The sequence below is a fragment of the Homo sapiens genome, chromosome 16, assembly GCF_000001405.40.
Source record: "Homo sapiens chromosome 16, GRCh38.p14 Primary Assembly".
In the NCBI taxonomy this organism is placed as follows: Eukaryota; Metazoa; Chordata; class Mammalia; order Primates; family Hominidae; genus Homo; species Homo sapiens.
Genome location: NC_000016.10, coordinates 32,168,227 through 32,195,737, shown reverse-complemented (window position 1 = coordinate 32,195,737; position 27,511 = coordinate 32,168,227). Strand labels below are relative to the sequence as shown.

At 43.0% G+C, this 27,511-nt stretch overlaps 2 pseudogenes across 1 annotated transcript; one reads left to right on the top strand and one right to left on the bottom strand.

The window, feature by feature from the left end:
- Positions 1-5,937: 5,937 nt before the first annotated feature.
- On the bottom strand, positions 5,938-7,539 carry LOC124903764 (COX assembly mitochondrial protein 2 homolog; annotated as a pseudogene).
- Positions 7,540-7,624: 85 nt separating this feature from the next.
- Positions 7,625-25,695, top strand: HERC2P4 (HERC2 pseudogene 4; annotated as a pseudogene). Its single transcript, NR_109773.1, has 14 exons — positions 7,625-7,729; positions 8,633-8,735; positions 13,327-13,648; positions 13,798-13,927; positions 14,374-14,483; positions 14,982-15,153; positions 16,178-16,352; positions 19,550-19,723; positions 20,108-20,211; positions 21,205-21,355; positions 24,062-24,272; positions 24,546-24,678; positions 24,786-24,913; positions 25,006-25,695. The product of NR_109773.1 is annotated as an HERC2 pseudogene 4 (transcript).
- Positions 25,696-27,511: the final 1,816 nt, after the last annotated feature.

Here is a 27,511-nt window from a genome sequence, read left to right as displayed (position 1 = left end):
TATTCTATTAGGTGGAACCATATGAAATTGTCAGTATTCAGCCTTTTCTGTCCTACAAAAAAATGACAGCTTTGTGTTTCCACCTAACACATGGCAGCCCAATAAATATGTGACAGTCAGGACCATAGAGCTACCACACTAAACAATACTAAATGCATACACATACCCTTTCCAAAACCCTGGCAGGTCTTCTTTTCCCCAAAAGAATCATTCTTTGACTCTTCACCCATTATTCATGTGAGAAATTTTCCAGGCCCGTCAACATGTCAGTTGAGTGACTGTAACAATTAGATCTATCGATTCTCCTCTCACAATTTGACATTCTTTATTGAAAAGCATGATCTAAATGTTGACTAATAGTCTGCAGAGTGAAACATGTTTACTAGTTCCCATGACCTAAAACAGTGTAAAACCATGATTCAAAAATTTCTTTTCTTAAAAACTTCTAAACAATATGTCTGCCGGGATAAACTGGTGCAATTTCTATGTGGAACCTAAAGAATTTCAATGACACATTTTCATCCTTATTGCTGTTAAATAATCCCTTCAATAGTGCCCCATCTTCTGTACTCCTTCATACGATTTTCTATCTTATTATTTTCCATCATTCTTTCTGTTACAACTATAATAGTTTCTTTGGAGAAACTATAGATTTTCCCACTTCAGAGGCATTTCTGCATTGAGCTCTCATAAACCTCTCTAACATGGTGGGAAATAGACTCAATAACATTTGTGTATGAATTCAGTTGTGAATTACTTAAGGCTCATCTATAACATCAAAAAGCAACTTGGTAAAAACAATTCTATTGAAGATTATATGATCTAAGTATATATAACTTTAGGATGGCTTCGACTGAGACAAAAATAGTATCGATACAGTGTGGAGCAATGAATTTCTAAAATTTTTATCTGCTTAACATTTTTCAACAGCACAATTTATACAGAAGCCCAACATGAGACATTCTTGTTCACATGGAATTTCTCTGCCCGCTTGAGCCCTGTAGAAATACCACAGTGTTGGTAAACAGCAACAGCAACAAGAAGATACTAAGCTTGAATTCTCAGTGGCTCAACCACACCAAAGTTTGTGGGTTGCTCCCATAAAGTTCAATGTCAGTCAGAATAAACTCCTCTATCATTAACCTATGACACACATTGCACGTAACCTTCAAAGTACTGGAAGTGGAAAAGGAGAGAACCTGGGAAGGAGGCAGGGGCTTTTTACTGCCTCAGCCCCAGAGTGATTCATGGCACTTCACCTCAGAGTCTCTTAGATCTTTCCACGTGATCCCAACATAACTGGATGTCTCTGAAATATCTGGGAGGGCATGAAGATTCATTACATGTCTTAGTATTCATTACATGTCTGTTTACAGACTCCATTTTGCTTTCTAAGATGCTCCCTGACTCTTCTCAGAAGCTTTACATAACATGCTATATAAAACACTGATCTAATCAAAATATCACCCTATACCCTATAAATATGTACAATGATGTGTCAATTTAAAAATTAAAGCAAAAAATCCACTGATCTAAAGGGATGATTTCCTCATGCTTCAGGTAATTCTTCATGGAATATTAGTCTCCAATACCAAACTTTTCTTAAGAATTTGGCTGCAAAGAATCCAATAATGTATTTTCAGAAAGAGATTGGAATGCCACAATCTTGTGCATCAACAAAAGAGTGTGTCCCTTTTTGACATTTGGGTCTCTGCGTGACTTCTGACAGAAAGGACAGGCTCAGAGGACACATGGGCATGTCCAAAATTTAATTTCTAAAAGGCTTCTCGATCTACCCTAATGAAGACATGAGTCTAGAAATTTTCTGACCTCCAGAGCACAGACAGTGCTTCTTCGGAGAAATTATAGATTTTCCCACTTCAGAGGCATTTCTGCATTGAGCTCTCATAAACCTAACATGGTGGGCAAGTTGGTATTTCAGTCCTTCACATTTAGCTCTGAGTTTAGTACTTGATGGATTTTAAATTAAGTTTCTTTGACATGAAATGAAATCTTCAGCTGCCTGTTAGTTCCAAAGCAGGCCCTCAAGCTCAACACATTAAAAAATTAGTCGTTTCCTCAGAATCTTGTTCTTCCTTCAGAGTTTCCAATTTTTGTTACAGATACCACCTGTCAGACAGTCATTTGGGCTTAACATTTTAAAGTCTGTTCTGGGTCTTCCACATTCATTATTCTCTACAGTCAATCACATTCCAAGGATTGTTGCCTCCAATGCATGCCTTTTTCTCAGTTTTATTTTCTCCCATCAGAGTCATGCACAGATTAGCTCTCAAGTGAGCTATTATAATGGCCTCCTAGCATCTAAACTCTCTTTTTCCAATTGATAGTTCTGCCAGAGTTGTCTTCTTAAAGCAGAGGTTAGACCGCATTTCTCTAAGTAAATTCCAACGACACCAAAATAGTGATTCTTAATAAGTATTACAAGTAGGGAAATACAGATGGGAGAGTTTCCTTGGTAAATAAGTTCATAAAATCTAGGTTAAACAATGTTAAATGGGGTTTGCTTTTTGCTGTTGCTTTGTTAATGTGCATTTGAAATTTCTAAAGTGGCATTACATATCCATAATTTCCCTTATCTGTTTGACAAAGGAATCTGGTTTGTTTAGAAGCATTTTTTCAGAACTTCTATAGGTCAACCTTTCAGAAATTCCTCATTATCAACAGTCAAATACAGATGTATTTTCTTTGGCTCTCGCAACAGGCTTAGAGGAATTTCTAGTCTGTTCTTGTGACGTTTCATTATATGCATCTTTTGCTCAGGCCTGTTAAACCTACTCAACGTGTGTATCTTCTACTCCATGTCTTTATTCTTACTGTTGTCTTAACATGAAATCCTTGCAACCCAATTCATAGTTTTTGTTCTTTGGAAAAATCCAGATTATGTATCATCAATACGTATTTTTTCTCTATTGAGATTTTCCTGTTTTTATGTATCACAGCCAGAAGTAATCACTGCATAGAGTATTTCTGCAGAAAGATGGAAGAGTTCTATTTTAACACAATATTTACTATACACCCAGCAAAGGTCTAGGTATTTATAGATACTATTTTATATATTCATCCCATCAATGCTATGAAGAAATATTAATAAACCCATTATATATGCTAAAAGGTAGCGACACATATATGCCACATGTGCAGGTTTTCTCAGGTATTATTAGCTAGGGAAGCTGTGTTGTAACAGTCTTCAAAAACTTCCTTCTATTGTTTACATGCTATTCCACATCATTTTGTTTTCATTTCTTTTGTAGTATCTAATGTATTCTACTAAAAAAAAAGTACAGAAGTTGGAAAACTCTTGTGAAAAAACATATATTACATATATACTATTCTTCATGATGCTCAAAATTTTCATCATTATTAACATTTTGTATATATATGTGTGTGTGTGTGTGTGTATGTATGCGTGTTAGATATATAATTTAAAAGAAAACAATAAGTTGGTGGCTTATGGCATATTGTTCCTTAAGTCCTGCATTTGAAACACACTGAGTGAATCAGCACATTTGATCATCTTTTAACTACAGTAGATGATTATACATTAAAAATGCATTAACCATCCAAATACATCTTTTTTAATTATTTATTTATTTATTTATTTTTATTTATTTTGAGACGGAGTCTTCTTCTGTTTGTTGCCCAGGCTGGAGTGCAGTGGCGTGATCTCGGCTCATTGCAAGCTCCGCCGTGACCTTGGACATATCCCTAATATTTTCAAGCCTCAGTTTCTCGTCTTTAAAATTAGAATAAAGATACCAAACTCCTGGGGTTTTGTGAGAGTAAAATGAGACGATGTTTGTAAGAGACTCAGCGCAGTGTCAGTATCTACCATGTGCTATGTACTCTGCGTTTTCTTTCTTTCTTTTTTTTTTTTGAGACGAAGTCTCGCTCTGTCACCCAGGCTGGAGTGCAGTGGCGCTATCTCCGCTCACTGTAAGCTCCGCTTCCCGGGTTCAAGCCATTCTCCTGCTTCAGCCTCCCGAGTAGCTGGGACTACAGGCACCGTCCACCACGCCCGGCTAATTTTTTTTTTTTTTTTTTTTTTTTTTTTTTTGGATTTTTAGTAGGGACGGGGTTTCGCCGCGTTAGCCAGGATGGTCTCGATCTCCTGACCTCATGATCCGCCCGTCTCGGCCTCCCAAAGTGCTAGGATTACAGGCGTGTGCCACCGCGCCCGGCCCTGCGTTTTCTACTGTGGATGCTACTGAATGTTTTTAGTATTTGCTGTATGTCAAGAGCTCTTCTAATTAAACTCTATGCGTAATGACTCACTTAAAGGTTGCTATTATTATCCCTATTGTAAGAAATGGACATTGGGGCACAAAGAGGCTTAGAAACTTGCTCAAGATCACATACCTGGCTGAGCGCGGTGGCTCACACCTGTAATCCCAGGACTTTGGGAGGCCGAGGCAGGCGGATCATGAGGTCAGGAGATCGACACCATCCTGGCTAACACGGTGAAACCCCGTCTCTGTCTGTCTGTCTTTCTCTCATCTCACTCTGTCACCCAGGCTGGAATGCAGTGGCACAATCTCAGCTCACTGTAATGTCTGCCTCCTGGGTTCAAGCGATTCTTCTGCCTCAGCCTCCGGAGTAGCTGGGAGTAGAGGCATGTGCCACCATGCCTGGCTAATTTTTGTATTTTTAGTAGAGATGGGGTTTCACCATGTTGGCCCAGCTGGTCTCAATCCCCTGACCTCTGGTGATCTGCCAGCGTTGGCCTCCCAAATTGCTAGGATTGCCGGTGTGAGCCACCACACCTGGCCTTTATTTCTTTATTTTCTATTGTTTGTTTGCAGTGATAGGATCCCCAATTCAGAAATCAAGTAAAGGAAGTATGCCTCCAAGAGGTATTGGAGTAGATAAACTAGATATTACAAAGCCTACAGATTCAGTCTATTAATTTTTAAAAATAAATTATTAATTTATTTATAAACAGTGTGTGTGTGTGTGTGTGTATGTGTGTGTGTGTGTGTGTGTGTGTGTGTGATGGAGTCTCGCTCTGTCGCCCAGGCTTGAGGGCAGTGGTGCAGTGGCCCGATCTTGGTTCACTGCAACCTCCCCCTACCGGGTTCAAGTGATTCCCCTGCCTCAGCTTCCTAAGTAGCTGCGATTACAGGCACCCGCCACCAGGCCCGGTTAATTTTGTATGTTTAGTGGAGAGGGTTTCACCATATTAGCCAGGATGGTCTCGATCGCCTGACCTCATGATTCGTCCACCTCAGCCTCCCAAAGTGCTGGGATTATAGGTGTGAGCCACCGTGCCCGGCCTATTTAAACAAGTTTTTAAAATAAATTATTTTATTTTAACTTATCATATTCCTTTATTCAGGGAGATAAGTTACTGAGATAACTGGTAGTAGGCAAAGAGAAGAAACAGGGTGAAGTCAGGTTTGTTGGTGGAGGAAAAATGATACTAAAGACTGCCCAACAAATATTCAGAATCCAGAAATGTTCATATTTCTCCATGGTTCAATTTCTCATGGGTCACTTTTCATTACAAGGATTCTGGAGAGCAAATAAGACAGGATTCTCTCAGGTATCAACCCAGTCTTTTTTTTTTTTTTTTTTTTTTTTTTTGAGACAGAGTCTCGCTCTGTGGCCCAGGCTGGAGTGTAGTGGCGCCATCTTGGCTTACTGCAACCTCTGCCTCCCGGGTTCAAGAGATTGTCCTGCTTCAGCCTCCCGAGTAGCTGGGATTACAGGCCCACGCCACCATGCCTGGCTAATTTTTGTATTTTTGGTAAAGACAGCGTTTCACCATATTGGTCAGGCTGGTCTCGAACTCCTGACCTCAGGTGATCCACCCGCCTCGGCCTCCCAGAGTGCTGGGATTACAGACATGAGCTACCGTGCCCGGGCCAACCCATAGTCTTTCAGTCTTCTCTCAGCCAAGGCATCCAGTGAAAATACAATTTATTTTTCAGATTCCTCTGGAGAATTAAAAAGTCTCTTTTGCGGCTGGACACGGTGGCTCACACCTGTAATCTCAGCACTTTGGGAGGCTGAGGTGGGCAGATCACAAGGTCAGGAGATCGAGACCATCCTGGCCATAGCCAACACGGTGAAATCCTGTCTCTACTAAAAATACAAAAATTAGCTGGGTGTGGTGGCACACACCTGTAGTCCCAGCTATGTGGGAGGCTGAGGCAGAAGAATTGCTTGAACCCAGGAGGCGGAGGTTGCAATAAGCCAAGATTGAGCCACTGCACTTGCTCTGGTGACAGAGCAAGACTCCGTCTCAAAAAAAAAAAAAAAAAGTCTCTTGCATCAAATTGCCATAGTCTCTGCTCTTGGTCCTCTTTTCCATGTACTCATTCTTCAAGGATTTATTTTCTCATTGCCTGATCAAGATCATTGCAATGACCAAAAAATTTTCGGATGCTGTGATTTTTGTAATATTCCTTTAAAAAGTTAATCATGATGTTGCGTTCTTCAGTGTGCAAGTGTGGAGATGTCAGGATGCCTCTTTAAGACAAGATGATGGGTCACAGCAGTGCCATACCACTCACAGCCACACCAGGAGAGCTGAAGGGGCAGTCACCAACGAAGATGCCCGACCCAGAACTTGGCTGCCAGGGAGCCAAAAGCCAGGTCACTCCACAGGTGGCCAATGCCTGGGGGAGCCCTCCACCGCCCAAGCTTATTATTATTATTATTATTTTGAGACGGAGTCTGGCTCTGTCTCCCAGGCTGGAGTGCAGTAGCACGATCTTGGTTCACTGCAACCTCCACCTCGTGGGTTCAAGCAATTCTCCTGCCTCAGCTTCCCGAGTAGCTGGGACCACAGGCACGTGCCACCTCACCTGGCTAAATTTATTTTTTGAACAGACAGTGTATTGTTATGTTGTCCAGGCTGGTCTTGAACTCCTAGGCTCAAACGATCCTCCCACTTCAGCCTCCCAAAGTGCTGGGACTACAGGTGTGAGCCACACCTGGCCAGGTTCTACTTTTTAATATTTAAAATATCTGAAATAGGCCGGGCACGGCGGCTCACACCTGTAATCCCAGAACTTTGGTAGGCTGAGGCGGGCGGATCACCAGAGGTCAGCAGTTTGTGATGAAACTCCGTTCCTACTGAAAATACAAAAATTAGCCGGGTGGGTGGCAGATGCCTGTAATCCCAGCTACTCGGAAAGCTGAGGCACCTAAACCCGGGAGGTGGAGGTTGCAGTGAGCTGATATCATGCCACTGCAGTCCAGCCTCCGCGACGCAATGAGACTGTCTCAAAAAAAAAAAAAAAAAAAAAAGATGGTGTCAGTGATTTCTGCTACATCAGCTCTGGAGGCACTCCGTACCTGATTGCTCCACTTTTAGTGGTGCTAAATTCAAATAATTCAGCTGGTGAGAAACTGACTCCCGTGGGAGTGCGGGCGTGCGTGCGTGCCGCGGAAATCCCGCCTTCCGGCGCCGGCGGTTGGCCCTGGCTGCAGTGGGTGAGCTCCAAGTAGGAAGATAAACGGGATTGCAGGAAGCGGGAGAGTCAGGAGGAGCAGGGAAGGGCTCCTCTTCCCCATTGGCTGCGCCCGCGGAGCCGCCTTGCGATTGGCGGTAAGCGCGGGTCGGTGGAGGGGGCGGCAGTCCCGCGCGGGCACGCCCCTCGGGTAGCGAGAGGCGTCGGGATCGCGGGCGCCGGCTGAGCCAGCGGCTGCTGGGAGGCTGTGTGCGCACGCCTGCGGGGCGAGGAGGCCGGGCCCTGCGCCTCAGGTCCTGGCCTGGGGCACCGGGGCGTCCGGCGTCGGAGGCGGTGCGGGGTTGGCGGGCGGCACAAGGGGTGGGGGGGCGGGGGGGGGTTGCTGCGCGGACCGCCCGCGGCGCAGCCCCCTGCCTCTCTCTATCTCTAAGTGGTGGTGGCTGTGGGTTTTTCTGCAGGTGAGCCTTTTGAGTAATTTGTTTCATGCAGGCGCCCTGCTGTTGGGTAAAGCGGCAGATTCACGCTGCTGTCATTTGTCGTTCAAACGATGGGCTTCCTGGCAGGGCGCGGTGGCTCAAGCCTGTAATCCCAGCACTTTGGGAGGCCGAGGCGGGCGGATCATGAAGTCAGGAGATCGAGATCATCCTGGCTAACATGGTGAAACCCCGTCTCTACTGAAAATACAAAAAAAAAAAATTAGTCGGGCTGGTGGCGGGCGCTGGTACTCCAGGCTACTCGGGAGGCTGAGGCAGGAGAATGGCATGAACCCGGGAGGCGGAGCTTGCAGTGAACTGAGATCCCGCCACTGCACTCCAGCCTGGGCGACAGAGGGAGACTCCATCTCAAACAAAACAAAACAAAAAATGATGGGCTTCCTGTCATGTGTGTGTGTACCTTTTGGATTTGAGGGCAGGGGTATGACATTGTGATTTGGCCTCCTGTGACAGTCCATTCTCAAGGTCTCGCCAGCGTGGTGCAGAAACCCGGCATACCTTGCCTATCTAGGAAGGAGGCTTTCCCTTCCCCACCTCCCTCTCCCTCCATCTCTTCCCTCTATCTCTCTTTCCTCTTCATTCCCTTCCCCGAGCTCTTCTCTCCCATCTTTCTGTTCTTTTTTTTCTGCATTAAACTTTTCGGGAATGTCTTTGTAAAATATTAAAAAGCGTTAGGTCTTCAACATGTATGTTTACTTGCAGGCCTGAGAACTGGGAGGAAGCTGGAGAAAAGATGCCCTCTGAATATTTGTGTTTGGCTGCCCAGGCTCGCCTTGACTCCAAATGGTTGAAAACAGATATACAGGTGGGGTTTGACATGTCTCTTTCTTGGTGTATTTCTGCTTCCATGTTTAAATTTCTCGTGTCTTTTTTTTTTTAGGGTATGTAAGGGGAAGTCAGTTGTTTCTTGCTATAGTAGAGGAGCAGGTTTGTTTCCTGTAACTTAAAATGTAACAGTCTTTATGGCTGTTTTTGTAGATCGTGCACGGCTGCCTTTTAATTAGTTTCTTGCAAGTGCACGAAACTTGAGATCTATGAATAGGCAAAATTTTTTTCCTATTTTTTTATTACTGGTTAAGAAATCTGCCACACTCCTAACCATATGATGGTGACTGTTATTTGTTACTGATAGTTTTTGAGCTGTTTAGTTAACTGTGCAGGGGAAAGTTGGAGAAGTAAGTTGCAGTAATTATGGCCAATAGAAACGCACTCATTTTATGAGGTCTTGTGTTTGTGTTTTTGGAGAGACAAGAGTTAGTTCAGTCGAGGTGTTTGTTTTGTATTTGTATGCAATACAAGGTCTAAGGACAATTGTGTTGAAACTGAGGTCATGATGTTGGAATCTTAAGGGCTGAAGGTTCCAAATAAATGGTATATATAGAATTCTCTCTGACTCGAAATTGTCCCTTTCTGGACCTCCGGATGCTGAGGCTAAGAATGTCCATATGATAGGGCCTTCCATGACAGGAGTCAGCAATCTTTTTTTTTTTTTTTTTCTTTCACGTATCTGTAATTCATTCTGTATATTTTAAAAAGTTTTAAGCTCTCTTCCTAGCCCTAGTATGTGTTAATAAATTAAAACATTTCCCAAAGTGTTTTTTTGTGAAACAATAATTCTAAAAGATGCTCTAAGAAAAGCTAAGCACATGGAAAAATCCAAAGTATATGTTTTATTTATTACATTTGATGAATTTGTTGTTTGCTTCTTTTTCCTCTCAAGAGGGAGCCTTGCTGTGTTGCTCAGGCTGGAGTGCAGTGGCATGATCTTGGCTCACTGCAACCTCCGCCTCCCGGGTTCAAGCAGTTCTCTGCCTTAGCCTCCTGAGTAGCTAGGATTACATGCACCCTCCACCACGCCCAGCTAATTTTTGTATTTTTAGTAGAGACGGAGTTTCGCCATATTGGCCAGGCTGGTCTTGAACTCCTGACCTCATGATCCACCTGCCACGGCCTCCCAAAGTGTTAGGATTATAGGCGTGAGCCTCCGCACCCGGCCCACGTTTGATGGATATTTTTGTCCTTTGTTCTTTTAAAAATTGTGGTTAGAAAGCAGAGCATAATTGTTCTTTATGTAGATCCCAACTGATTGGGGTTTTTAGGGAGATTTTTTGGCATTCAGTAAATGTTTTTATTTTCCATTATTAAGACTATGAATATTTTATTTTATTTTCTGAGACAGGGTCTTGCTCTGTTGCCCAGGCTGGAGTACTGTGGCATTATCTTGGCTCACTGCAACCTTTGCCTCCTGGGTTCAAGCAATTCTCCTGCCTCAGCCTCTCAAGCTGCTGGGATTACAGGTGGCTGCCACCATGCTGGGCCAATTTTTGTATTTTTAGTAGAGTTGGAGTTTCACCATGTTGGCCAAGCTTGTCTGAAACTCCTGACCTCAAGTGATCCGCCCGCCTCAGCCTCCCAGCGTGCTGGGATTGTAGGTGTGAGCCACTGCCCTGGCCCATTTTCACTTTTCATTAGCTGCTATTTTCCCCCATTTATTTCCTACCTTTCTGTGTATGATTTCTGAATGAAATGTATTTCATGTCTTAACCTTCTGAATTGTTTGTTCTCTCATTTTCCATGTTGTTAAGGAAAATAAGAGGCTAAGTGAGATGTATTAAATTTGCATATAGTTTCTCAGATCAGGATAAAGGCTCATCTGTTGCAGAACGGGACTCTGCTCTTGCTTCACCCAGGATGCGTTTCCTAGTTCCTTCCTAGAGTGGGGCCACGCCCTGCTCCAGCCTTCCAGACCCAGCTCCCTGCTCTGACATGATTCCACTGGACTGTATTCCAACTGTCCTACCTGGACCTAGATATTTTCTTTGTTTTTTTGTTTGTTTGTTTGTTTTTTGTTTTTGAGATGACGTTTTACTTGGCGGTCCAGGCTGGAGTGCAGTGGCGATCTTGGCTCACTGCAACCTCCGCCTTCCAGGTTTAAGCAATTCTCCTGCCTCAGGCTCCCAAGTAGCTGGGATTACAGGTGCATGCCACCACACCTGGCTAATTTTTGCATTTTTAGTAGAGACGGTGTTTCACCATGTTGGCCAGGCTGGTCTCGAAATCCTGACCTTGTGATCTGCTCGCCTCGGCCTCCCAAAATGCTGGGATTATAGGTGTGAGCCACCGCACCCAGCCAACTTTTTTTTTATTAAAAAACTTACATGAAATTTATTTTATTGTGGTATCTAGTTCAGTAAATTTTGACCCTATAGATTCATTTAACCCCCGCCATCATCAGGATGGAGAAGTTTCATCACCCCAAAAGCTCCCTTAAGGTGCTGCTTTTTATCACATATCCCCTGGCCTCATACCCTGGCAACCACTGATCTGTTCTCCATCAGTATAGGGTATTCTTTTTGAGAATGTCATGTGAGTGGAACCATATTTTAAGTAACGTTTTGAAACCATCTTCATTTACTCCTAGTTATATGTTTGAGATTTATTGTTGTTCTGTGTATTAATAGTTCTTTTTATTGATGAATGGTGTTTCATCATTTGGATGTACCACATTGTGTTTATCCATTCTGCTATTGTAGGACCTTGTGGTTGTTTCCGTTTTTCTTTCACAATTGTAATCCTGCTGTGAGCATTTCTGTACAGATTTTGTGTGAATATAGTTTCCATTTCCCTAGGATAAAGACCTAGTAGTGTGAAAATTGGGTCATGTGCTGAACTGTTTTCCAAAGTGGCTGTTTTAGTTTGCATTCCTGCTGGTAATCTGTCACGTTTCTGTTGCTCTGTGTCTTTGTTAGCACTTGGTGTTATCAGTGTTTTTTAGTTGAGCCATTCTAACACGTCTAGTGGGATCTCATTGTGGTTTAAATTTGCATTTCCATAATGGCTAACAATGCTGAATATCATGTTCTTCTTTGCCACTCTTGTATCCTTTGTGAAGTTTCTGTTCAGATCTTTTGCACAGAAAAAGCTGTATCATGGAACCAGTAAAATAACCAAGGAGAGGTTGATTAAAGTTCTGTTTATAATCCTAGAAGATTCCTGCCTTAGGGATATGGGATGGCTGAACATAAGACACCAACACTGGACAGATGAAATAGCAGTTTATTAGTCACGCATGCTCACAGCCCTGGGGGTGGGGGACACCGCATGTCACACGGGGGCTGCACTTGGGAACAGAGTGAACCACGAGGGGCTGTGGGAGGCACATTTTGTAGTAAGAAGAGGGTGAAATGACCTTGCTTCCGTGGGAAGATGTGATTGGCTTGTTGGAATAACTCTGGACCGGCAGGGATGAGCAGGCTGGGGTCGGGTCTCCGCGATAAGGAGGGTTGTTTGGCTCTGGGATCTTATCCGTGGGAGCAGAGCTTGGAGGAGACCTTGTGGTTAGGCTATTTGAGGCCTTCTTGATTTTACTGACGTCAAGGCAGCACATAATATTTAGTCTTAATTTCAGGCCACACAAGACATTCCTCTGTATCTACTTTCTGTGGCACTTTTCAAAAGGTTTTGTCCTTAGTGTTTAGCAGTTGATTATGATGTGCCTCATCATGGCTTCCTTTGGATTTATCTTGTTTGGGCTTTGCACAGATTCTTCAGTCTGCCTAGGTTTCTGTCATTTGCTGAACCTAGGAAGTTTTCAGCTATTAGTTCTTTAGATTTTTTTTCCAGCATTGTACCTTTTCTCTCCTGTTATTAACCTGTGGGGTCTGTGCTAATTCTAGGTAGTTAGTTTCAGAATTGAATTGCATTGTGGGACACATAGCTGGGTGTCGCAAAGAACTGGAGAATTGCTTGGTGCAAAAGTCCATACATTTGGCGTCAGAAGTGTTGTAAACAGAGGAACTGTTTCCTTAGGGATTTTTAGATACTCATTATTTATAATCTGGATGGGATATCATGTCTTTCACCGATTGAGGTACATTTTTCTAATTATGTTGTTTAGACGTTTAGTCACAGCCTTCTGTGATGGACCGTGTTTACACTTCAAGGTTAAGGTTAGTTCTCTCTTCTCTTCGCTTACTATGTCAGGAGTTTTATGACAGTTGTTTTTGACTGAAACGTTACATTGTCAGTGGCCTAAAGTCATTTTTCCCAGCTTTTCCTTTGTGTCCCAGTGCTCTTGAATTATGCTATCAGTGACAGCGCCCCTGCATAGCAGTGCTTGCCAGTTGGCAGTGGAGTAGGGCCTTGGAAAGGGTTAAAAGATTTTTGAATCATACTCCTTTTCTACACCCTCCCTTTTCCCATGGGTACGCAAGCATTGGGACTCAATGGATGGAAGCAATTCGTGTGAAATTGAAGTAGGTAAATATCAAATACTAAGTTTCTCAGTTGTGAAATCTACTAGGAAGTTAATGAAATATCATTTTGGAAGACATGCTTTAAATAATTTGATATATTGGTTTCTTTTCTTTTCTTTTCTTTTCTTTTTTTTTTTTCAGATGGAGTCTTGCTCTGTTGCCCAGGCTAGAGTGCAGTGGTGCCATCTCGGCTTACCGCAAGCTCCGCCTCCCGGGTTCACGCCATTGTCCTGCCTCAGCGTCCCGAGTACCTGGAACTATAGGTGTCCACCATCATACCTGGCCAATTTTTTGTATTTTCAGTAGAGACGGGGTTTCACTGTGTCAGCCAAGATGGTCTCCATCTTCTGACCTCGTGATCCACCGGCCTTGGCCTCTTAGAGTGCTGGGATTACAGGCATAAGCCACCACTCCCGGCCGATATATTGGTTTGTTTATGAAAATTATACTGGATCTGTTACAGGTATGATTGATATATTTTATTTTTGAGTTGTCAAACATTCAGTTAATGATGTGTGTTGTAACTTTTCAGGGAGGGACATTTGCAGAGACTGACTAATGGTATGGCATTCTGAAAAGCGGTTACAGATTAAAAAAATTTTAATTCTGCAGATGATAGTGTCAAACCAAGTGGAACAAAGAAAGAAGATCTGGATGACAAAGAGAAAAAAGATGAAACTCCTGCACCTGTATATAGGGCCAAGTCAATTCTGGAGAGCTGGGTATGGGAGTAAGCAACCAGGTAATCTTTGATCAGAGATAGAAATTAGTATAGACATTTTGCCTCCAGATCCTCAGGTGGTTTTAGAAATTGGTTCTCTAATTCTGTAGGAGAAGGTTGATACTGGTATAGGCTTACACGTCATTGAAACTGGAAAAGGTAGCTAGATATTCTTCTACTCATGTTTTGGATAATGAGATATTTTATGCTTCACACACTTGGAGTATGTCATCTACTGTAATACGGTATCTGAATGAATACTTTAAATAAAATACATTTCTGTAAGTTAATTGTATACTTTAAAAATCTCTGAAAAATTTGAGTAGCAAGTCTCAGAAACTTGGTTCTAAATATTAAGAATATATCCTTCCTTGGGAGGGAGCATGTAGTAAACATGTTAGTGTGATTGTAAGCATACTGTCTTTCTGGAGGTCGCTGTGTTCCTGCATCCACTGTTTTCATTTCAGGGATGTTCACGGAACGCCAGGCACCAAAAGGCCAGAAGCATGCCCCTGCAGGACCAGCACTTGGCTCTGGCCATCCTGCTGGAGCTGGCTGTGCAGAGAGGCACGCTGAGGTGAGGGCTTGTGCAGAATGGGAACGCTTTGGGGAAGCGCCTCTGTATCCAAATACCTGTTGCATTGTGTGCATTTCACTGAATCGTGTTTGACTGCAGCAGAGAGCACCATGTCCCAGAGCTCGCTCTCTCTTTACCTTTTCTTCACTTCCTTTTTTATGCTCAGTTTTCTAGCCTGGGAACTGTTCTTTTTTTTTTTTTTTCTTTCAGTTTTCCTCATTTAATTATTTTTATTCCATGAATTTAAGATCCTAGAACTTCCATGTGAATGTGCTCTTTGAGCTTCTTAACTGGTCTTTCCTATCAGCAGAAGGCGATGACTTGTGCTAAAATCTTAGTGTCAATTCAGTGATTTAATTACCACGGCTTTACTTTCATTTCCTTTCATATCCCAAGTATTGCTTCACTTCTATCTAGCTGTTTGCTTTTATTTTTGATCAACCATGAAAAAAAAAGTTAATCTGTTTTTACTAGGAATAAATGTGTTTTCTCCTTTAGCCAAATGTTGTCTGCCATCCTGTTGTTGCTTCAGCTGTGGGACAGCAGGGCACAGGAAACTGACAATGAGCGTTCTGCCCAGGGCACCAGCACCTTGCTTTTGTCCTTGCTGCAAACGTTCCAGAGCATCATTTGCGGTAAGGATACGCCCCCCTCCGAGGGCAACATGCACGTGAGTGTCATGATGGAACGTTGTGTTTAGGTGGTACTCAAGTCTAGTTATTTTTTACGCAAGACCAGTGTGTGTGTCCACGGCAGTGTTTTTCTCTGGCGTGGGTGTATTTGGTGGTAACAGCAGCGAGTCAGATGAGACAGGTGTGGGAGGCCACTTGTTTGTGGAGAAGACTTGGATCAGTGAGCACCGACTTCCTTGTCAGCACAGAACCAAGCTTGAAACACACACTTTTAAATCAATACTAGAAAAGAACAACGAAAATAGTGGCTTTCTTTGTTGGCCCTTCCTATGTACTGGGCTCTGTGCAGGGCATGTCATCTGAGCTGTCACTCTGTTTAGTACCAGCTCCCCCCTTAACAGGTGTGGACGCCGAGCTGGGGGAGGAGCAGGCATGTGGGGCCCTGGGCGTAAACCTCCAGGACTGCTGGTCTTTACAGTTCAAGTACAAGTTGAATTTTGCATCTTTTTGGGAAAGTCTTAGGCATTTCAATATCATGCTTTGGTTTAATTTTTCTATTATTTGTTAGTCTTTAAACTAATGATAATAGGGCTCTTCTGCCTTTAGAAGAATTAGAACTATGATTTAATTTGCAAATGAAAGTAGGTGTTCTCCAGAGTGGGCAATGTTTAGATTAAAATAAAGGTTTTGGTTTTAGATTTCAAGGCCAGCTTGAGATGCTGTTCTGGGTTCCCACAGAGGTGGTTCTGCCTTTCTCCAGGGGTCCTAGGCCTGTAGGGTGGTTTGGTCATGTTAGTAATCTGTGTGGATTCAACTTACCTGTGGTGTCATAAATGTATACATGCACAGTCAATGTTGTGTACATGTGTACAGCACATTTAGACATTTATACAGTTTGTATGCTACATAAATATATAGATGTATAGTATAACTGTATCATCGACATTGTCATTTGATGGGTCAAATGAGTCAATACCAAAATATAAAGAGTGGGTAAAGGCTAACTGTATTACTTTAATTTTTCCCACCATTTCTGAATGTTTGTTTACCTTTCCTTTCTAGCTTTTGTCTGGCCCTCTGAGCCCCAGTGAGAGTTTCCTGAGGTACCTCACCCTCCACAAGACAACGAGCTTGCCATTGATCTGCAACAAACGGCAGTTGTTGTCATGGCCCATTTAGAAGATCTGGCTACACCCTGTAGATGCCTCTGCCGTGTAGCTGTCCGACGTCTCATAAGGTGTGTGTGCAAGAACCGTGTTCTCCATGGGTTTTGTAGCTAGTACCACTTGTAGGTTCTCATCCTGGGCCCGTGTGGAGACTTGCTTTTTCTGGTATTGGTAGGGGGAGCTGGCCTGTGGTTTTTAAACGTGTTTGCAGTTGAACGTGTTATCCGTGTTGAGAGTGAATGATGAGCAAGCTGAGGCGCACAGGCCTGGGGACCCAACCTGGGGGCCCAGGTTCCAGGTTCAGGTGGCACAGCCCCAGAGAGCTCCCCTTTAGCCACAGCCCCAGGCCCTCCCACCTTCTACAGAGGGTTCCACAGCCTTCTTTATACTCTGAACGTGGGCTGTCTTAGTATGTAATGCTGGTTATAGTAGTGACAGTATAATTATATATTATATCTGTTATGTAATAGTAATGGTAATAGTAGTGATTTGCATGTGTGGAGCACCTGTAGGGTGCAGGCCCACTGAGGACCTCATGCACGCTGTTGTATCTCATTATGTCAATGAGAAAACTGCCTTTGGGAATGTTAGTGAACTTTGCCAGTGTATAACAGTAATCCTAGTTTTGAATCCAGATTTTTCTAACATTTTATTTCTAGTATGAAGAGTGTTTATTTTGTTTTACAGTCGTTAAAAAAAAAAGAGGAATACAGTCACATGGTTCAAAAATCAAACCTAGGCAGAGACACACTGTCACTTCCCCTGCCCACCCCTTCCACCCATTTTCCTACCTGCTCTCTCTGGCTTTTCAGTCTCCTCTGTAACCTCCTTGTTCTCTGGAATGAGTATGCTAGTGGTAGCATGTTGCATTACTTGTGTTGCTTGTTTTTTTTTTTACTAACCATATATACTGGAGTACTTTATCAGAGTGTCGCTCTTTGTTTTTATAAAGCAGCTTAGTCTTCAGTGTGTAGATATGTCTTTTATGTATCATTCTTCAGTGAGTCTCTTATTGGTGGACACTTGGGCTTATTGCCACAGTGTTGCTACACAAATAGTGCTGAGGGTCGGTTGTGGTGGCTCATGCCTGTAATCCCAGCACTTTGGGAGGCCAGGGTAGGTGGATCACCTGAGGTTTGGAGTTTGAGGTGATCAGCCTGGCCAACTTGGAGAAACCCCGTCTCTACTAAAAAATACAAAAGTTAGTGGGGCATGGTGGCACATGCCTGTAATCCCAGCTACTCGGGAGGCTGAGGCAGGAGAATCGCTTGAACCTGGGAGGCAGAGGTTGCAGTGAGCCGAGATTGCGCCACTGCACCTTAGCCTGGGCAACAAGAGTGAAACTGTCTCAAAAGACAACAACAACAATAACAAAAAACACAAATAGTGCTGCAAGGCCTGACCTGGAACATGTGTCCTCCATGTGTGCACGCGTGTGTGCCTGTGCACATGCACAGGTGGGGATGCACCTAGTGTGGGCTGGTTGTCACCAGATCGCTCCTGTACATCTTGATTTCTCTCACCACCAATAGGGATGCTGGTCTCCCAGCCTTGTGTGTGGGCTTTTGGGATTTTGCCTGCTAAAGCACAAAATGGTGACCCTGATATAGTTTGAGCATTTTAAAATATATTAGTATTTAAGGGCCATTTATACTACTTTTTAATGGGTTCTGTTGAAATGCAATGGAAATGGAAAAATAGCCTGTTCAGTTGCTTCATCATACCTGTTAAATGCGGTAATACGGCGTGGTAGGAGATGGGGTTTCACCATGTTAGCCAGGATGGTCTCGATCTCCTGACTTCGTGATCTGCCTGCCTCGGCCTCCAAAAGTGCTGGGATTACAGGCATGAGCCACTGTGCCCGGCCAATTGGATTATTTTAAAGCATAACTCTGTCTTTAAAACATTTTAAGGCATTTTACCTCTTAATGATAAGGATTTAAGAAAAACCCTACAATATCATTATCCTGTCTATAAGATTAACAGTGATTCCTTAATCTAACATGTAGTCCATGTTACATTTTCCTGGACTATCTCAAAAATGCCTTTTTTAGGTGGTAATTTTGAATTAGGACCTGAATATGTTCTGTGTATTGGCATTGGTTGACATAATGCTTCTAGTCTCTTTCCCCAAACAACATGGCTCCAGGCCCTCCTCTCCCTGTCTCTGATCATACCATTTTCTTTTTCAAAGAAGCAAGTTGGTTATTTTGGAGAACTTCACATTTTCTGAACTTGGTTGATTGCATTCTCTTATTCTAGACCAACATATTCTTCTGTTAGTTACATTAATCTGCTGGTTAGATCTAGAGGTTTGGTTGGATTTGAATTCAGTCTCGTTGGGGTGGTGTTATGTCTGGAGTCATGCTGCATGCTTTCTGTTGGCTCAGGAGGCCTGTAATGCTCAGTGGCTCCCCGCTTTAGTTCTGTGAAGCTAGACCAGGGAATTCATGTGTTGCGTGTCCTCTATAAAATCCCCTACCAACCTTGCCCTCTGCTGTCTGGTTAGCAGGAGGTACAATTTGTACAGGAAGGACATAATCTAAGCTTGACTTCTTGAACTGCCACCTCCCTTTAACTATTTTTCATAATATTGAGTTGGTATCCTAGCACTTGCATAGGTGACCACCACTCAGGTTTTCTTTTTTTTTGAGTATTTTTATGAACTAATAGACTTCTATTGATTTGGTGTTTCTTTTCTTTTTTAGCTTTTTCCCCCTAATATACACATTTAAAGGCGTAAATGCCCTCAAGCATGCATTTAGTTGTATGTCACCAATTTTGATCTGCAATATTTTGATTATTAATTGAACTCATTTTCTAATTTTCATAGTCATTTTTTCTTAGAATTTTGGGTTACTTATAAGTGTATTTTGTAATTTTCAAATATGTGGATGAATATTTTCATTTTCTGTATATACAGAGTCATTTTTATTTTATTTTGAATGAACTTTTGAAAACCTATTTCTAATTTAACTGCATTGTAGTCAGCACACATGCTGTGTAACTTTATTTCTTTGAAATCTGTTGAGATTTGCTCTATGGCCTGGCATGGCCTGATTTGATATTCATGCTGCCTAGATTTTTTTTAAAGCATTCTATATTTAATAGAATTTGTATGTGTGGTATTAGTTTCAGAGCTAGGTATGTATTTCTCCCATTGTGATTGTGGATTTGTTTATTTCTGCTTGTAGTTCTTTCACACAGTTTGTTCTTTTCATTTTACCTGTTGATTGATCAATGGACTGATTCTGGTTTCTGTATACAGAGAGTCATTTTTTTACAGGTCAGAACTGTAGAAATAATGAGGAAGTGACACTTATATGCAAAGCTGATTTGGAGAACCATAATAAAGATGGAGGCTTCTGGATTGTGATTGATGAGAAAGTGTATGATATAAAGGACTTCCAGACACAGTCGTTAACAGGAAATAGTATTCTTGGTAAGATTACCCTTCTTATTTCCTGGTTAAAAGTTACAGCCTGTATCATTTTAAGCAGAGTATTTGGCTTATAAATGATTTCTTTAGTTTTGTGCCAGCCCCCGCATATTTTAATGTATCTGTGGCTTTGGTGTCTGTCTTATCAACAAATTCAGCACATTTGAAGAATTTCCTTTCATTATGCATTTTTTGTTTTAATACTTGGAACTCATTTCAAGTTCTGAGTTGGCCCAGGCAACCCTGGGAGACAGTGGGAGGTCATTATACTCTGGTAACCCTCACTTTTGAGTTAAGCGCCTAACTTATTTCCTACTCACTGTTTCTCCTATAGCTCTTCAGGCAAGCTGAATTGAACTCCTGTTGCTTTTTCCCTTTTTCTTTCAGCTCAGTTTGCAGGGGAAAACCCAGTGGTAGCTTTGGAAGCTGCTTTCGAGTTTGAAGTCACCCGGGAATCCATGCACGCATTTTGTGTTGGCCAATATTTGGAGGTGAGGCTGTATGCCTTGAGTGATGCAGAGGATGGCAGGGGACACCCTCCGTGTGTTTGTGATAGGAATATTTGGATCTAGAAGTACTGATATCTGGGTCTTTTGGGGGGCATTAGGGATAATATAAAGATCCTTTAGAAGTTTTGTCATAAATGAATTTACATTTATTCGTGTTAGGATCTGTGATGTACTGGTCTTGAAAGATTGTTTTTTAAATGATCAATTTGTGAGAAATATAGACAGTGTTCCACAAGAAAAGAGGTTAAACTTTGGTCTTATGTAGAAATTTGGAATGGCTTATTATATTGAGGTATGTATTTTTTGGGAAGAACTATGTAGAAGTGTAATTCTTTACAATAGAAATATGTCCTTCCTATGTATTCACGAACACATAGAATTTATATACTGGGATTAGCTTTCCAGCTATCCACAAGTAATAAAATGTATTAAATGCCATTAGGGCAGGGCTTAAAGCATTTTATGAAGGGGAGAATTAACTTTGCTGTAAATATCTTCTGTGACTGGAAAAGTTGAACTCTTGCTTTTTTCAGAGTTTGATTTTTGTTAGAATAAATTTCATTTCCTCTACCTGTGTGGTCACAGTCCACTAATACTTGTCATCGAATACTTGTCATAGTTTTGTTGCCCAGTGGGTTCTTTATGCATGTAACAATTCATTATACTTTCTGAAGCATGGTGTACAGTCACTTTGGAAACTGATTCCTAAGGAATATTCTAGCCAAATCATGTATCTGTGCTTTAGTTTTTCTGCGTGTACGGTTGCTGCCAGCTTTATAGGGCATGTGGGTTTATGTGGTATCTGCTGTTACTTGGGCACAGCAGCATCAACTCATTACAGGATGGAGGGGCAGAACACCCAGGGCACCCCTGGGCTCACATGGCGGTACAGCTGCAGGACAGAGCTGTCCTTTTGGTTTTATGTTTTTAATTAATTCTGTTTCCTCAGATTGATGATGAAGTTTATTTTTCCAGCCTGACCAAGAAGTTGTCACCATACCAGATCCGGGAAGTCTCTCTTCACCTCTGATAGACACAGAGAGGAATCTGGGCCTGCTTCTCGGATTACACACTTCCTATTTAGCAATGAGCACACCGCTGTCTCCTGTCGAGATTGAATGTGCCAGTAAGAAAATCTTTGCTTTTTGCTGATTAGCAGATTATTTTTTTTGAACTGTAAGTGCCATTAAGAGTGGGAGAGGGCCAGGCACAGTGGTTCATGCCTGTAATCCCAGCACTTTGGGAGGTTGAGGCATGTGGATTGCTTGAGGTCAAGAGTTTGAGACCAGCCTGGGCAACACGGCAAAACCCCATCTCTACAAAAAACACAAAAATTAGCCAGGCATGGTGGCATGTACTTGTAGTCCCAGATACTCAGGAGCCTGAGGTAGGAGGATCGCTTAAGCCTGGGAGGTTGAGGTTGCAGTGAGTCATGATCATACCACGGCACTCCAGCCGGGGTGACAGAGCAAGACTCTCTCTTTAAAAAAGTAGGAGATGGCCAGGCGGTGGCTCATGCCTGTAATCCCAGCACTTTGGGAGGCTGAGGCGGGTGGATCACCTGAGGTCAGGAGTTCGAGACCAGCCTGGCCAATGTGGTGAAACCCCATGTCTACTAAAAATGCAAAAATTAGCTGGGCGTGGTGACGGGTGCTTGTAATCCCGGTTACTCGGGAGGCTGAGGTAGGAGAATTGCTTGAACCCAGGAGACAGAGGTTGCAGTGAGCCAAGATCGCACCACTGCGCTCCAGTCTGGGTGACAAGAGCGAGACTCCGTCTCAAAAAAAAAGAGGAGGATTCAACACAGTTGATGATGCTACAAAAAATAATAATAAGGATAGTGAGACTCAATCAGGTAGAAACAGCTGTGAGTGGCTGTCATTTGCCCTCATGGTCTGTTGCTGCAGAGGAAGCTAAAAAGTGTGCAGGAGTGTCTACCCGTCTACCCTGTGGTGGTCTCACGTATTGCAGCCCCTGCCTGATGGGCCCAGCATGGCTTTTGTCTCCCTGCATGCCCAGAAATTGCACAGAATGTGGATCAGCTGTTCTCTCAGGGAACAGCGTTCTATTTGAGGACTGCGTTTTTACCAGACCAGGCTCAAGTCAGTTATATTTCAGGATGGCAGCCTTTGTAACCACCTAAAATAATAAGCTTTTTCCTGTCTCCTAAGATGGGTTTACATTTTCCTTCATGTAGTCGTGCATTTCCCATCTGTCTATCTGTCCGTCCGTGTGAGCAGCTTCTGTTGAGCAGTTGCCTGGTGCCGTTACCATGCGAGGTGTTCAGGATGCAGTGATGGATAGGACACGCCTCTGCTTTCAGTTGCTGCTTGTTGATGAGCCAGCATTCTAAGCAGGTCACGTTACAAGGTGGTGAATGGTGAAATGGAGACGTTCATACGTGGTTCTGGGAGAAGAAAGGCTTCACACCGGCAGCAGTCCTGAAATTGCATGAGGGAGCATTCTGGGCAGAAAACACAGGAGTGTCAAGGGCAATGCTGAGAGGAGCAGGGCTTTCCTGCTGCTTGCGAGAGTGGGTGTGGGAGAGGCTTGCGGGAAAGGAGGATCTTGGTGTCCACACAGCCCCCCGTTGGGTGGACCTTTGTGCAGTGCTGGGTGCTGGACTGCCTGTGGTGCCCTCTGAGGTGTCTGCTTCCCTCCCTCCTCCTCAAGGCTCATTGCTTGCCAGAAGATGGGCTTTGTTTAAATTGACAAGGAGGGCAGGGCTGGCGAGCTCCAGAGCAGAGGGTGCCATGAGCCCTGGCAGGTGGGTCCGAGCCACAGGAGGATCAGAGGCTTATCTTGGAGCAGTAAGGAGGGGCTGTCCTGTGCTTAAAGAAAGGGGGCCAGAGAGAGTTGGCATTGGATTAGTGTTTCAGAAGAACGAATGTGGTGGGTTGGGGAATGCTCCTGAGTGCTCTAAAAATCTAAATGTCCAGTAAAAGAACAGTAAGTGCATCCCCGCTTTGATTGCTTGGATTTGGAGCAGTATTTGATAACACAGATCGTTAATAGAGATCTGTAGTGGTGCACATCCTAATTTTGTGTGTATGTGCCGCTCCCTCAAGTGACCATAAGCAGTTGTAATTAACATTTGCACTGGCTGATCCCATGCCTTGCACCATGCACAGGTCTCCTTTCCAGTCCATCGGCCCTCCCGTCTCCAAGGATCTATCCTTCATTAAAGATTGTGTGTTTGTTAAATATTTTCTCCTTTTCATTCCTTTATAAGTGCTCTAGGAATACATAGCCTACCCTGAGGATGTAATTCTTTGTAGAAACCCTTCAGATATGCTGTTCCCTGCCTGGATACTCAGCGTCTGGGTCTTATTCCTCATCTTAGCTCAGTTGTTGCTTCCACAAGTCCCTTACTGACCCTCAGAATAGCGGTGGTCTGTCCTCCGGTCTCCCTGGTACCCCCATAGTCATCCGTGCACAGTTTTGGACTTGAAATCCTGTGATTAGTTGTGTCAGCGGTGCCCTTTGCTGCCTTCCTTGTTAGAGTGTGCAACTCAGTCTTCACACGGTATCTGTGGAACCAGGCAGCTGCAGGCAGAGCACAGGTATCCAGAGAATTTTGGACTGGAACTACAATCCTGAGTTCTGATGCCGTGCCTGAGGTGTGTGGAATCACCAGAAAGTGTATTCACGTAGATAGAGGAATTACAAGTCAACCTGTGTAAACATGTTAGGTGGAGCTCTTTCATATGAATGATGCTGTATTTTACCTTCTAAATTGAGTGTTCAGTTGAGCATCTTTTTTTTTTTTTTAGTATTTATTTTGAGTTGTGCACTTGAGTTTCTCTTTCATGTTTGCGTGTGCATTTTCTAGAATGGCTTCAGTCATCCATCTTCTCTGGAGGCTGCAGACCAGCCAGATCCACTACAGCTACAACGAGGAGAAAGATGAGGACCACTGCAGCTCCCAGTGGGCACACCTGCCAGCAAATCGCGACTGCTCCCACAGATGGGCCCTGGGGGACCATTCTCAGGCATTTCTGCAAGCCATTGCAGACAATAACATTCAGGATCACAACGTGAAGGTGAGCTAGGCCTGTCCCCACTGCCACCTCAGTGCTCTGTTTATCTGAGGACTTTGACATAGGAATACTTATGTGCTCTTTGGTTAACATAGCACAGACTTTGTTTCATGTATTATTTGGAGGGTTTTGAGGTGAGAACCTGATTGTGTTAACATGCTAGCAAGGCTTCGGAAGCATTACTGATTGCAAGTGCATCAGAAGCTGTGGCATGTTTAAGATTTGTGAAGACTCACTGGCCGGCCCTGAAGTTACCTCCAGCTGTTTCTGTTGCAGGGCTTTTTGTGTCAAATAGAAAGGTACTGTAGGCAGTGCCATTTGACCACACCGATCATGTTTCCCCCCGAGCACCCCGTGGAAGAGGTCGGTCGCTTGCTGTTATGTTGCTTCTTAAAACATGAAGATTTAGGTAAGGAGCTCAATATCTGTGTACTTCAGCTAGACTGCAGATTCCTCGACTAACCTGTGGTACATATTCATTCCTTCCCTGTCCTTCTTTTAAATGTCTTTTTGCAGGTCATGTGGCATTATCTTTAGTTCATGCAGGTGTACTTGATATTGAGCAAATAAAGCACAGAACGTTGCCTAAGTCAGTGGTGGATGTTTGTAGAGTTGTCTACCAAGCAAAATGTTCGCTCATTAAGGTGATATATTTTAATTCTTTTTATTCTGTGCTTTGCAGACAGTTGCAGAAATATTTGTTGTTAAAGTTGTCTTTTCCTGGTTAACTTTGCAGACTCATCAAGAACAGGGCCGTTCTTACAAGGAGGTCTGCACTCCTGTCATCGAACGTTTGAGATTCCTCTCTAATGAATTGAGACCTGCTGTTGGTAATGACCTCTCTATAATCTCTGAGTTTAAATTGTTAAGTTCTTTGCCCCGTTGGAGGAGGATAGCTCAGAAGATAATTCGGGAACGGAGGAAAAAGAGAAGTAAGAATGTAAAAGGACAGAAGATACTATTAAAGCATGTGCTTCACCCTGCCTCGCTGGACCTGTGATTTCAGAGTGAAGTTTCTCTACTGTTGATTCCATGTGACATTTCTACCTGCTGCCATCATTTTTATGTATAGTTATGATTAAATACGGAAATCTCTCCTATTTTTTCAACCGATCAGACAATGAGGCAGTTTAGGAATTGAGTGTGGTATGATTTGATTACTAGTAAATTGATGTTGAAAACGTAAATAATCTTTGCTAAATTGATGGGAACAAGGACGTATTTTTATTTTATTAGTTATCCTGGTAATGAGATATAATGGGAACATTTAAACTTATTGCCATTCTTCTAAAGAAATGTTTTTTGTTTGGAAATATTGAGTATTCTGATACATGGAGAATTATAAAGGGAAGCTGAAAGAGTTACTGACATTTTCCTGGAAGTAGCTGTGTAAGAGTACAGAAAAGTCTTTTTGCATTAAATCCAAATTTGAATAAAAATGCTTAGAAATTATAAAATAGTTTAGAATTCAGTCACTTGTGATTATAAATAAACTACAGAAGTTTCTGATTATATCCTTTTTTGTTTTCTTTGAGACGGGGTCTTGCTCTGTCGCCAGGCTGGAGTGCAGTGGTACAATCTCAGCTCACTGCAACCTCCGCCTCCCAGGTTCAAACGATTCCCCTGCCTCAGCCTTCCAAGTAGCTGGGATTACAGGCATGCGCCACCACGCCTGACTAATTTTTGTATTTTAGTAGAGACGGAGTTTCACCATGTTGGCCAGGATGATCTCGATCTCCTGACCTTGTTATCTGCCTGCCTCGGCCTCCCAAAGTGCTGGGATTACAGGCATGAGCCACCCCGCCTGGCCTCTGATCATGTTCTTATGACTTATACTGATTTACTCACAAACCTGCTTATTGAACAGTATTAATTACTCAGTTTCTGATGGGCATTTTGAACAATAAGCTTATGAAAGACTAGAGCGTTTTAGAAGCCATCCTAATTTGATTGTTCCTGAACAAACCCTACACCATAACAGCCTGTCGGAATCCGATGGGTGCTCTGGATCAGGAAGTCACAGCAGTCACACTGCTGCAATTCCTTTAACCCAGGCATGCAGGAACTCAGCCCGGGCCCAGGAGACAGGCCTGCCTCAGCATGAGGGAGAGAGACTCCACCATTTGCCATTTCATATCCGTGGGTTCTGAGCCCACACTGTCACTTTTAGAGTTTCTTGTGGGTTTATAGATTTATTGTGTGTTGTTTCAAGCTGGTTTTCTTTTTTTTTTTTTGGAAATTAAGTAACTTAAGAAGATTAAGTGATTAATATTCCTGTTGCTGTGTCAGGGATCGCCAAGCCTTCTCTCAGGCTTGATGATTCACCAAAAGGACTCAGAAGAGCTGTTATACTCACAGCTGTGTGTTTTTTTTTTTTTTAACCGCAAAAAGGATACAGATTAAAATTAGCAAAGGGAAGGGTGCATGGAGGGAAGTCCAGAGGAAACTAGGCACAAGCTTTGGTGTCTCTCCCTAGTGGCGTCACGTGGATGTGCTTAGCTCTCCCAGCAACAGTGGGTCACATCATGTGTGCAGAATTGTTAACCAGGCCAGCGCACCTGAACCTCGAGTCTAGAGATTTTGTTGGGGGCCAGTCACATACGCAGGCAGTGCCCATGTGACTGACCTCAACTACTTACACTCCAGTGCCCCAGTGCAAAAACAAGTGGTCCCTCGCAAGTCACATCATTAGCATAAATTGCCTGGCCAGACCACTGCCACAAGGTCCTGGGTGTCAGGTATACCAAAAAACTTATCAGGCAGGATGTTCCAAGGCCTCAGAGCTCAGCTCCTAGAAGAAGAAGGACCAATCCTGAAGGGACAGACCTTCCTTGGGAATTTGCAGTGTTTGAGCAACCCCGGCCTGCTATGTTAGCTCTTTACTGCCCAGGTGTATTGTCATGTTGCTTATTTTTTATATTATATGCTGAGGAGATTTAGACCAAAAATTTTAAAAGAGATAAAATATAGGGAGGAAATTCCACATATCACAATGAATTCAATTAATTCAGTTACACACTAACAGAACCACTGAACTGGACCATGGTGGACAAGCCAGGAACTGTGGGCCAAATTCCACCTCTTGCTTGCTTTGTGTTGCCCGTGGACTAAGACCTTTTTTTTTTTTTTTTTTTGCAGTTTGAAATTGTTTTTTAAAAATTAAAAGAAGTATATTATTTTTGACACATGAAAATTACATGAAGCTAAAATTGTAGCACCATAAAGTTTTACGGGAGCACAGC